At 37.4% G+C, this 12,864-nt stretch overlaps 1 long non-coding RNA gene across 1 annotated transcript, besides 1 other annotated feature; it reads right to left on the minus strand.

Annotated features, from left to right (window-relative positions):
- Positions 1–823: 823 nt before the first annotated feature.
- On the minus strand, positions 824–3,432 carry LOC124902535 (uncharacterized). The gene is made up of 2 exons (XR_007062359.1): positions 3,318–3,432; positions 824–1,161 (listed from the first exon to the last, which is right to left on the minus strand). It is a non-coding gene; the product is annotated as an uncharacterized LOC124902535 (long non-coding RNA).
- Positions 9,803–10,003: a silencer, noted in NCBI's record as "peak958 fragment used in MPRA reporter construct". NCBI's record gives its function as "represses an SCP1 promoter by STARR-seq MPRAs in K562 erythroleukemia cells {active_cell/tissue: K562}" and the evidence as "EXISTENCE:reporter gene assay evidence [ECO:0000049][PMID:32103011]".

A 12,864-nucleotide genomic window follows, 5' to 3' on the forward strand; every position in this document is an offset into this window, starting at 1 on the left:
TGATCAAATTATTCAATTAGCAAATGGCACTTGATGTAGAATTTGATTTCTGAAAATGCAAAAATGATGATGTTAAAACAAATTATTTTTAGAGACTATGAACTTACTTTATGATTTTCCATTTTGTCTTCTTTATCCATTAATTCTTATTTGCCATTAGTACAAAGGTACAAAAGATTAAAAATTGGAAGGCTGTGTGGGACAAATAAGTCAACTAAATATAAATAACGGATTTGTATATTTTCATTATTTTCATCCCATGCAACCCTGCAAAATTATATTTTTCTCCTCTCAAAAGAGGAAAGTAATGCATTCTTGAGGTTTTGGCACAAGCACTGTTTAACGAAGGTCATACACTGAGCAACAGAAGTTACTTATATGTTAGGACCCTTTGTAGAAATATGGAAAAATATACAAAATGAATAGAATACTCTTTTCTTTTTTAATATATTTTTTATTATACTTTAAGTTCTAGGGTACATGTGCACAACATGCAGGTTTGTTACATACGTATACATGTGCCATGTTGGTGTGCTGCACCCATTAACTCCTCATTTAACATTAGATATATCTCCTAATGCTATCCCTCCCCCCTCCCCCCACCCCACAACAGGCCCCAGTGTGTGATGTTCCCCTTCCTGTGTCCAAGTGTTCTCATTGTTCAATTCCCACCTATGAGTGAGAACATGCAGTGTTTGGTTTTTTTGTCCCTGCAATAGTTTGCTGAGAATGATGGTTTCCAGCTTCATTCATGTCCCTACAAAGGACATGAACTCATCATTTTTTATGGCTGCATAGTATTCCATGGTGTATATGTGCCACATTTTCACATGCACATGTATGTTTATTGCGGCACTATTCACAATAGCAAAGACTTGTAACCAACCCAAATCTCCAACAATGATAGACTGGATTCAGAAAATGTGGCACAAAATGTAGAATACTCTTTTCTAATATGTCCATAATTGAAAATAGTGCATTGTGGAAATTTTTCTCAAGTCCAGCAGTGGTCTTCCTGCATAATGGCTAGATTCTGACACATATATTCCATGCATATTGAGAATACAGATTAAAAATCCCAGCTCAGATCCTGGCCCATAGCTCTTCAAAAAATAGTTGTCAAGGACCTATCCTGAAGACAGCGTGTTCTTTTTTTTTCTCCTAAAAAAAAAGAAAAGAAATACATGTGCAGAACGTGCAGGTTTGTTGCACAGGTATACGTGTGCCGTGGTGGTTTGCTGCACCTATTAACCCATCTTCTAAGCTCCCTCCCCTCACCCCCCACCCCCCAACACACCCTGGTGTTTGTTGTTCCCCTCACTGTAGAACAGTGTGTTCTAATGGTTAAGAGTGTGAATTCTGGGGTCAGACTGTCTGCCTGGCTATGAATTCCAGTTGTGTGATACTGGGCAAATCACTTGTCTTCTCTGTACCTTAACTTCCCTATCTATAAAATAGGGATAATAATATTGACCTCTTAAGATTGTCTTGTGGAATAAATGAACAAGTATGTATAAAGCACTTAGAAGCCCTAGTTCATGATTGGGAAAATGTTTAAGTGTTGAATCAGTTTATGTCAACTATTTTCAGCTTATAATCTGGAGCTCTAAATTGTTTTAGGGTCTATGAGTAAAGAAAATGAGAGAACCATGTGCTTAGTAGCTATTTTAAGTGTCTGTGGTAGATATTACTGCTGCTCACAGAAGGCTTGTACTTCTCTACTGTATTAGTCAGGGTTCTCTAGAGGGATAGAACAAATAGGATAGATGTATATATAAAGAGAACTTTATTAAGGAGTATTGATTCACACGATCACAAGGAGGTCCCACAATAGGCCGTCTGCAAGCTGAGGAGCAAGGAAGCCAGTCTGAGTCCCAAAACCTCAAAAGTAGGGAAGCCAACAGTGCAGCCTTTAGTGTGTGGTTGAAGGTCCAAGAGACCCAAAGCTGAAGAACTTGGAGTCCTATGTTCAAGGGCAGGAAGCATCCAGCACGGGAGAAAGATGGAGGACAGAAGACTCAGTGAGTCTAGTCTTTCCACCTTCCTCTTCCTGCTTTTATCCTAGCCACACTGGCAGCTGATTAGATGGTGCCCACTCAGATTGAGGGTGGGTCTGCCTCTCCCAGTCCACTGACTCAAATGTTAATCTCCTTTGGCAATACCCTCACAGACACACCTAGGAACCATACTTTGCATCCTCCAATCCAATCAAGTTGATACTCAATATTAACCATCACATCTACTCACTTAAAGTTAACCATAGACATGACTTTTTTACCCAATAATATATGAACAGAAGTGGAAAGTGTGAGGGTGTGTCTTTCCAATCTCAGATATTTCTTTAGTAACATTCAGGGCAATGATAGGTATTCACCAAATTATGGGAAAATCCTGATGATCACTAACCTTTGATGTTATAATGGAAATATGTTTTACACCCATTAATAGTCTTAAGAGATGATTTATTTATCTAAGATACAATATTCTTAAGAGATTGAAGGTACGTGATTCCCCTTGGGTGGTCACTCATATACAAGGAGAAAATTCAGAATTCCTGATCTCGAATTACCATTTTTTACTCTACTTTATTGAATATGGTGGTCCAAAGGTTGTTTCATATGTCCCATCTTGTCTTTATTTTTGTTCTCTTTTAATATGCACTAGCTCACAGCTAGGTCTTTTGAAAAAAATAATAATAATAACAACTAAACCTTCAGTTGAAGAAACAAGGTATAGATTTTAAGCAAAAATTATGAGCCCAAAAAGTCATCTATAGACTTTTTTCTGTCTCCAATAGCCATAACATGATTTGTAAAGGTTTGTAAGTTCTACAGACATTTACAAGGTGTGTGTTCTAGGCACATCTAAAATGGACTGTGCCTGGTGCTAACCACGTTATTTATGTATCTCCTTCCATATACTCAGTAGTAACTTTAATCTCAGAGCATATTTACAAAATGACACCGAGACTGATAAAAATGACATCAATTGAACTTCTAATATATGCTACACATTCTTCCAAGCATTTTACATGTTATTTCATTTAATTCTATAAACCTATTAGAAGTAGTGATAACCAAATTTTCATGAGGAAATTAAAGTTCAGAGAAGTATTTACCCCAAATTCCACATCTAGAGACTGGAATTTGACCCATTCTGTTCCATATCTCTGCTCTTTCTACATTATTACACTCCTCTGCATTTTAAAGGGATTTTTATTTTTAGTCATTTTCTTATATTTCTTCCCCTTCCCGATCAGGCAAGAACCTTTGGATTAATATATTATTCATCAATAGATAACTAATGCAAATGCTTACCAAATTACATGCTGGACAACTGGAACTTTCCCATTTCTGTCTCTGGCAATTGATTTAACCAATATTTTTGAAGCTTTATATACACAGCATTAGATATTGTCTTCGCTATCAAAGGGCTTCTTACCTAACGGAAGACGGTTGGTAAAAATTTTTAATTGGACTTTTTCAAAATTAAACCCAAAGTAAGCCAAAGAGTGGAAATAAGTCAGATAATAGCAGATACATGAAATTTAAAATAATAAACAATAATCGAAAGTTGATTCTGCACAAAAGTTGATTCTGCAAAGATTAATAGAATTGATGGGCTTTTAAAATGCTCAGGGGAGAGAAACAGAAAATGAGAACAAAAATTAGCAATATCAGAAATGAAAAAGGGACATCACTACATATCCCAGAGATAAAAATAAGATCATAGAAAATGTTCTGAACAATAGCATTAAAATGTTTAATCATAAATTTAACAATATATCAATGGCGGTGCAAGACTTCCACAGTAAAAACTATATAACATTTTTAATAAAAATTAAAGGAGACTTAAATAAATGGTAATATATTCCATGTTCATGGATTAGAAGACATAATTACCATTAAGATGTTAATTCTCCTGAAGTTGATATAGAGTTTCAACATCATCCCATACAAAATCCTAGCAGTTTTTTTTAGATATTGTCAAGCAAGTGCTAAAATGTATATGAAATTTATAAAAACCTAGGATAGCTAAAAACAATTCTGAAAAAGAACATCCAAGTTGAAGGAATTACATACACTTGATTGTAACACTTATGTTACAGTAATCAAGTCAATGTGATATTGACTTAAGGATAGAAAAAAATAGATCAAAACAACAACAACAACAATCTGGAATCCAGAAGTTGACTCACTTATATATACAGCCAATTAAAGTTTTACAAAAATACAGCAGCAATTTAATAAGGAAAGAAAAGTCTTCTCAGCAAATGGTTCCAAGAAACCTAGATATCCATAAGAAAAATAATAAACTACCATCCCTGCAAAACATCACACACAGAAAATAAAAGATCATAAACTTAAACTCAAAAGCTATAATTATAATGCTTTTAAAAGAAAACATAGAATAATATCTCCATGAGTTGTAGCCAACAAAGATTTCTTAGGCCGTAGAAAACATTAACCATAAAACATTTAAAAAAATGAGAAATTACTTCATTGAAATTAAAAACTTCTGTTCCTTAAATATCACTATTAGGAAAACGAACAGGCAAATCACACATTGGGGGAAAGTAGTCATAATAGATACATCTGAAAAATACATATATCCACCATATGTAAAGAACACCTACAATTCAATAACAAAAATGCAGCAAATTTTAAATATTGGGCAAAGGACTAAAAGAGACACTTCAAAAAGAAAGACAAATGAATGGCTAATAAACATATGATGAAGTGCTCAACATCATTAGTCATCAGGAAACTTCAAATTAAAACTTCCATGACATATCATTTCACTCCAACTAAAATGGCTGAAATGAAAATGACTGGCATAGCAAAAGTTGATAAGGATGTGGCAAAATAAGAACTTTCATATGTGGCTGAGTATAAAATGGTTAATCTCTTTGGAAAAAGATTAGGTAGTTTCTTATAGAGTTAAATACACACTTACCCTATGATGCAGCAATTCTACTCCTCGGGATTCATCACATAGAAATGAAATATATATAACCTCAGCTCCCATAATGAAATGCATCATCAAAAACTGTTTGTATTAGTGAAATAGTCTTTGCTATGTCTGGCATTGAAACATGTTTTAAAACACTACTTTTTAAAATAAACTTTAACTTGAAATAAAAACTGTAAACAATTAATTTCCTGTCCATTGGAAGATTATTTCTGACAGAAAGAGTCATCAAATAAAAGTCTTAAGAGATTGAATTTTCCCAAGTAATATTCTGTGAGAAATATATAACATTTTGTTTAACATTATTTAATGTCTTCAATATACAGTTTATTGTATCAGAATTCAAATGATTTTTTTAAAATTAGCTTTCACTACCAACCATAATATAGTTGGGCAGATGAACACATAAATGTCTAAGGTAGACAATGATAAATGCTACAATGGAGCTAGAGCAAATTTGCCATGAGAATATAGCTATGGAGACAGATTTTTCCTTAGACAATATAGAATTTAAACTAAGCTTTAAGAGGCAGATATCATGGCAAAAATAAAAAGCAAATACTCAAACTTACTCCAAATTTGTCTTAATTTCTTAAAGCTTTGATCTCATTGTGTTAGCAAATGTTGAATGAATTCACATTTTTAAATTATTTTATTATTCACATTGATATTAAATTAGCAAATATTTAGTAAGTACCTAGTATGTCAGTTGTCAGAATTGACATATTATTTATCTAGTAAATTTTTGTATTTCATACACTTCTTGTCATTACCACTATGACATCCCCTAGTCCAAGACACTAATGACCTCTTGCCTTGACTGAATGACTTCCTAAGTGGCTTCACCTTCTTTACTTTCAGTCTCCTTGATGCATTTTCTTAACAGCAGATGATCTTTTAAAAACCTAGTAGAAACATGTTATAAGGCCTTTGAGTTAGATAGTACTTGCTCCTTGAATATTCTTTCCCTGTCTGTATATGGGAGTATCTTTCTAATACTTCAAATTTTACTTAAAGTTCACTCCTTGTGTGAGTTCTTCTCCTGACAACTCTGTCTAAATAGGTCTTCCAACCCCCAAACACATCTTTATTTTAGCACCATTTCCATTTTTAATTTGTACTTAAGTATTGGTCTGTTTCTGTATTTTATGTCTCCCCAACAAAGCTGTCAGCTACCCAAGGGCAGGAATTTTACTTGTTCAGGTATGCGGTGTATATCTACCACCTAGAATGGAGGCAATGCATAGTAGACACTGAATAAATATATATTTAATGTTGTATTGTGAGTAAAACAAAAATGATCCCTGCTTTTATCTAGTGAGAAACGTAGATATTCACCTAATAATCACAGAAATAAATGGAAAATTAAAAACTGATAAGTGCTTGAAAGAGAGAGCATGATTTTAGGAGAATGTGTAACAAAAGGAAAAGATCCTCCTGGAGGAGTTAGGACAGACTTTCCCAAGGACAGTACAATTAAACTGACAACTAAAGAGTGAGTAAGAGTTACCCAGGAGTTGAGAGGTGAGATGTGTCGTTCAGTTAAGGAAAAAAGCTGGGTCGTGAGATCAAGCCTGATGGCTTAGAGAAAGGGTTCTTACTCAGAGACATCTGGCAAAATCTGGAAGTATTTTTAGTTGTCGTGATGGAAGAGGGTGTGCTACTGACATTTAGTGGGTAGAGGCTAGGGACACTGCTCAACATCCTACACAGAACAGGACAGCCCCTCGACAGCAAAGGGTGATCCAACCAAAATGTCAATAGTGCCAAGGTTGAGAAACCCTGGGTTAAAGTATTGCTTCTCAAACATTTTCCTTTCAATACAAAATATATTTTACAACATAATCCAGTAAACTAACACAAAACGTAACAAGCATTTACATGAAGTATTTACCCTTTTGTTTGTGATGTACCCTATTTTATTTTCCCTTCGCTTCCCTTCCCTTCTTTTCTCTTCTATTATTTTAACGCTGGTCTCGATTCACAGAATTTATTTCATGTCTCATTATTAAGTCTCAATCTGTAGTTAGAAAAAATCACTGTGCTGAAGTACCTAAAAAGAGGTGGCTGACTGGAGCTCAGAAATCAAGATGGAAGGTTGAAAAGTGATGGAAATAGTGAGGCAGGTGGGAGATCTTTCACAGACCTAGAGGCCACGTTAAAGATTTTGGTCTTTATCTAAAGAGTAACAGAAAGACCCTGAAAGATTGTGAGCAAGGACTGGCATAATTAGATTTGTTTACAGTACACAGCAGTACTGTCCAACAAAAATATAATGCAAGCTACATATCGAATAATAAATATTCTAGCATCCATAGCTTTTAAAAAGGTAAAAAGAAACAGATGGAATTAATTTTAATATATTCTACTTAACTCGATGGATCATTTCAACATGGAATCAATATAAAAATTATAAACGATGCCAGGTGCGGTGGCTCACGCTTGTAATCCCAGCACTTTGGGAGGCCGAGGAGGGTGGATCACCTGAGGTCAGGAGTTCAGGACCAGCCTGGCCAACATTGTGAAACCGTGTCTCTACCAAAAATACAAAAATTAGCCGGGCATGGTGGCAGTCCCAGCTACTCAGGAGGCTGAGACAGGAGAATTGCTTGAACCTGGGAGGCGGAGGTTGCAGTAAGCCAAGATTGCGCCACTGCACTCCAGCCTAGGCAACAAGAACGAAACTTCGTCTCAAAATAATAATAATTATTATCATTATAAACGAGATGTTTTACATCCTTTTTTCATGCTAAGTGCTTGAAATCAGGTGTGTGTTTTATACTTACAGCTCATTTCAATGTAGACTAGCTGTGTGTTGCTCAATAGCCCCTGCGGCTAGTGGTAGAAAGGCACACCTGACAGCCCATGTGTAGAGAATGAATTGGAGCAGAATAAAGGTGAATGTGGTGAGACCAGTTAGGAAGAGATTGTCACGGCCCAGGCAAGACATGATGGTTACTTGTGGTGCGTGGTGATAATGTACATGGAGAGACATGAGCGATGTTAAAGAAATATTTAAAAATAAAATTAACAGGTTCTAGTTATGATTTTTGATATTCAGTGGGGGTGAGGGTGGATGAATAAAATGGAAATTATCTGGGAACCTGCGTATGTCTCCCTTTTTGCCCTTGCAAAATAAGTAGAGTCCACTCCTCTGTGTTCAGAACCCCTAAGGTCAGAGTTCAGTTAACTGTAAAAGGGCTAAAATCAGAGCTTTTTAAAAATGGTGCACACGATGTGTGATTCTACAATTAGTGAATGTGGATGACTGAGCTTGATTTTTTTTAAAAAATTTATCCATTACTTGTTCTACAAAAATTTAACTTCTCAACTGAAAGCTACATGAGGGTAGAGATTTGTTTGGTTACTGCAGTAGTCTCAGAGGCTAAAATGATTCCTGGCACATAACATGTGCTTAATAAATATTTGTTGAATGAGTGAATCTGCTTATTTAAGCCCTGGTATTCTTTTGGAACATTTTCAAATATTAAATATTTTACAGACATCTGATCATAACAACTAACTGTAGCACAGGACTTGATGTATCATCGAGTTTAAATCCCTTATTTATCGGTTCTTAGTATTTATCAGGATGACTGCATTAGTAGTCTTTCCTCATCATACTGCCCAAGCTTGTATATTTATGTCTGTGTTTATGTGTATGTGTGTGTATATCTTGGAGGTAAAAATCTATCCATGTTCTACCCCTTTAAAGCCTCAAAAATCCCAAAGTATTACATTTCTTTAATTTATGACATGTCAAAATCAGATACTGTAACTGTGCCCCAGTGGTAAATAATTTGTTAACTAGCAAAATTTCTTGAGCTTCTTTCGCAGGACAGTGGAGAAGAAAACAGTTTGTTACAATCCCTTCTGTCTGCAACAAAGAAAGAAAAGAATGCTTCTCTTTTTGCCACCCACAATCCTCCGGCAGATATCCAAACTCTCTTAAAAACCCTCCTTACTTCAGAAGAACATAGAATTTTCCTTTAAAAGAGCCTGTATCAAGGCGGTTAAGATATATGAAGAAGCCCCTAATAACTTGCTAAGGGCTGCACTGACTTGACCATCCCTACACGAACCCTTGATGGAATCCTTGGGACATGGAACATAGAAATAAGTTTGAACATTACAGAGATTGCATACTTAAAGGGCTAAAGAAAGGAGTTTTGAAACAAAGCAGTTTAAATTACACCCAGTAGGTCAAACAAAAGCCTAACAAAGACCCCTCAGAATACTTAGAATTTTGGGGGCTTACTGACAATACACAGAAATAGATCTGGAAGCACTGAAAAATCTAAAAATGAGAAATATGACCTTTACTGGGCAAGCTGCCCCCAACATTCAGAATAAATTACAAATAGTGGAAGGGGCTTTAGGAATGACCATGTCTCAGTGGTTTCAGATTGCTTTCAAGGTTTTTGGTGGCTGAGATGAGGTCCAAGAAAATAATGAGCAGTGCAAAATGAAACACCAGGCCACCTTGCTGGTTGAAGCCCTGAGCAAGGAACTATTGGGAGGAAGCATATCAGCTACTTCATCTGATGCTCCACTCGGTATTTATAGATGGAGTTGGACAGGTCCCATTTTCAGGGTAAACAGACCTTACAGTGGCTTGTGGGCAGGTGGGCTGTTTCTTCAGGAATAACCTCCTGTGTTTCTAGTTCATATATACGTATCTGCAATTGTTCAATAGTGACCTGTGGGTCCTGCATCAACCCAAACATGGTCTTCCACTCTGCAGCATTTAAAACCAAAGATACTGCCCCTAAATTAATTTATCTCATAATCCATTTTAGTAAAAGTTCCTCAAGAAGCTGATAATGCTAATCTTCAAAATGAGACAGTGCTGTCACACAGGATACCCTCTGGTTTCAAGTTACTTGGTTTTGCCCTTCCGCTACATTAACTACCTTCTTGGTAATCACAGGTCTCAGAGGTACTTTCTGCTGTCCCCAAGGAACAGAACTTTCCCCTTTGTGGATGACTTTGTGGTTAGTGGCCTGAACCCAGACACATCCACATCTGAGCTTGGTCCAGCTCAAGGCCCAGCCTAGCATTCTCTTTTACTTCCATCTTAGCTATTATAGATAACAATAACCAAGGTATTGAGTATTTCCCTTTTTTTTCTTATTAGTTTGCATTTCCTTGTGCAGCCAGTAAACCAACTCCGCAGGAGTTAATTTGACCCATCTCTAAATTCCACTGATAACTTTTGCCTTTAGTAACTGGGTGCAGCACAGCTGCAGCTCCAATGCCATGGGTGACCATGTGGTCACTCAGGGAAGGAAAGGTTCCTTATTCCCCACATTTCCATCCTTTCTCTTCCCAAACCACATATTTCTGTGAGTAAGGGCCTTTCTAGAAAACCTTATTTATCTGACACCAATTGTTATTAAACCCTCAAGCCATGTTTTTCCTCTGTTCTAATACCAACAACAGCAATCAACTAACAAGACTCCTTTGACCCCCAGATAATGTGGGACTTTCTCCCCACCAGCAAGCAAGCAAGCAATTCTGCAGCAGACAAACAGCTGGGTTTCCTCCAATTCAATTTCAACACTATCTGTCTAGAGGGAGCATTAGACCCCACACATTGAGATCTCAATCCCACAAGACTGCCCCCTCAACCCCAGACACCAGTTGCAATTCTGGACCTCTGGAAATTATGACCTACCAGCCTCAAGATTGGGGTCCCAAGATCCCCTCTTTAGGGTCAGTTAATTTGCAGGAGCTGCTCAAGCTGCTCACAGAGCTCAAGGAAACACTAACTTATGTTTACGAGTTTATTATAAGGGATATTAGAAAGGAAGGATAAATACAGATAAAGAGGTGTGTAGGGTAGGGTATGGGGGAAGGGGTGCAGAGCTTCCATGCTCTCCCTGGGCATGCCACTCTCCAGGAGCCTCCACACATCCAGCTATCCACATGCTCCCTGAACCCTGTCCTCTTGGGTTTTTATGGAAGCTTCAGGATGCCAGCATTCCTTCCCCCAGGGTATGGAATGAGACCCTCTCTGGAATGAAGGTCTTATGACCAACAGTCAGAAAGCCAGGGGAAGATTAGAGTCCTGCCTCGGAGCAGGTGAGAGGTGGGCATGATAAAATGTCAGAGAGATTCTGTTTCCTGAGACCTGACACATTCAACATTGTAACAAAAGACTATAAGTAAGGCTATGGGAGTGGCGAGCATGGAACTGTGGCTGAAAACCAACAGGTAGGTAGATAGATAGATAGATAGATAGATAGATAGATAGATAGATAGATAGATAGACAGACAGATAGATAGATAGATAGACAGATCACTACTCCCCTAGGGTTTTTTTGGGAATGGTAGGATTTTTCTGAATTTGGATTCCCAACTTTGAGTTCATGGCTAAGCCCCTTTAGGAAGCCATGAAAGATGAGGACAAGGAACCCCTAAAATGGACTGGAGAATGTCACAGAGTTTTCCAGGACATAAAAGAAAAATTGATGATTGCTCCTTCCCTAGGCCTTCCAGGTCTAAGAAAATCTTCTGACCTTTTTGTCATGAAAGACAGCAAGTAAGCCCTGGGGTGTTAACTCAGAATTTAGGGCCCATAAGAAACCTGTGGCTTATTTTTCAGAACTAGATGTTGTCATACAAAGATGGCCAGTTTGACTTCAGGCAGTAGCAATCATTTGTGACTTGCTCTTCTTAGAGGCTGACAAGTTTACCACAGGACAGCCTACTACAATTCACACCCCACATTACACGTTATCTCTTTTAGAGCAAAAAGGAGAACATTGGCTTATACCTGGGAGGCTAGAAAAATACCAAACATTACTGCTGGGCAACTCGAATGTGAAACTAAAAGTAGTCTCCATCTTGAATCTCACCACCTTACTCCTGAGTAGCATGGAAGAAACTATTCATTATTGTATTCAAATTATCGGTCAAGTTTATTCTAGCCAGCTCAACTCAGTAAATCAACCCCTAAAAGATCCAAATCTGATTCACTGATGGAAGTAGTTTCATGAATCGAGGGATATGGATGGCTGAAAATGCTGTAGTGACACTCATCAGGACATGTCCAGCTCAAACTAAATACACCCTCATCAAAAAGTAAGCCCATCTACTCCCCCAAGGACTTGGAAAGATTCAATCAATGGGGATTTAACTGGGGACTGATATGTTCTCAGGACACCACATAAAAGTATACTAAGGAAAGAGGGATATGCAATAGACAAGAAAAGGTACTGATTCCTCAGCACTTAATGGAAGAAGTAATTAGTCATGTCCACAAGAGCACTCACTATGGTAGGGATGCTACACTACAATGGATACAAAAATATATCATTGGACCCAACTTGTGGAGAACAATCCAAAAGGTAATACACCAATGTGTGATCTGTACAAAGAATAAACCAAATGTAACTGAACATCAGGTTACTTATTCACCACATGCAGAGTCCAATTAACAAGAGTGAGATCTGGTATGAAGAAAGTGGTTTATTCCAAAGCTAGCTTGGGGAAGAGGCACAGGCGTCCTGCCATACTGCTTCACTTTTGGGGCAGAAAGCAGGCACTTTTAAAAGGCAAGGAGGAAATAATCAAAGTGAGGGGTCCACGTAAGCTCTGGTGCCTTATCCAGTAGGCAGTCAAGCTGGTGACTGCTGGCACCTTCATGGACAGACTCTTATCTCTTGAGGCCACCTCCTGATGGAGGGAGTTCCTTAGTGGGGATGCTTTGGTCTGTAAATTGATTATTAACTCTCCAGGAGACAGATGAACTTGCCCTGTGTGGGGGGTCTGATGAAGGAGAGGGTAAAAGGCTATATTTGCTTTTCTAAAGGGCTAAGTAGGAAGTAGGGAACAAGGGAAACAAATTAAATCATCTTTTAGAAAAATGGGTTACTCCATAACATAAAG

The sequence above is a fragment of the Homo sapiens genome, chromosome 10 (assembly GCF_000001405.40).
Source record: "Homo sapiens chromosome 10, GRCh38.p14 Primary Assembly".
In the NCBI taxonomy this organism is placed as follows: Eukaryota; Metazoa; Chordata; class Mammalia; order Primates; family Hominidae; genus Homo; species Homo sapiens.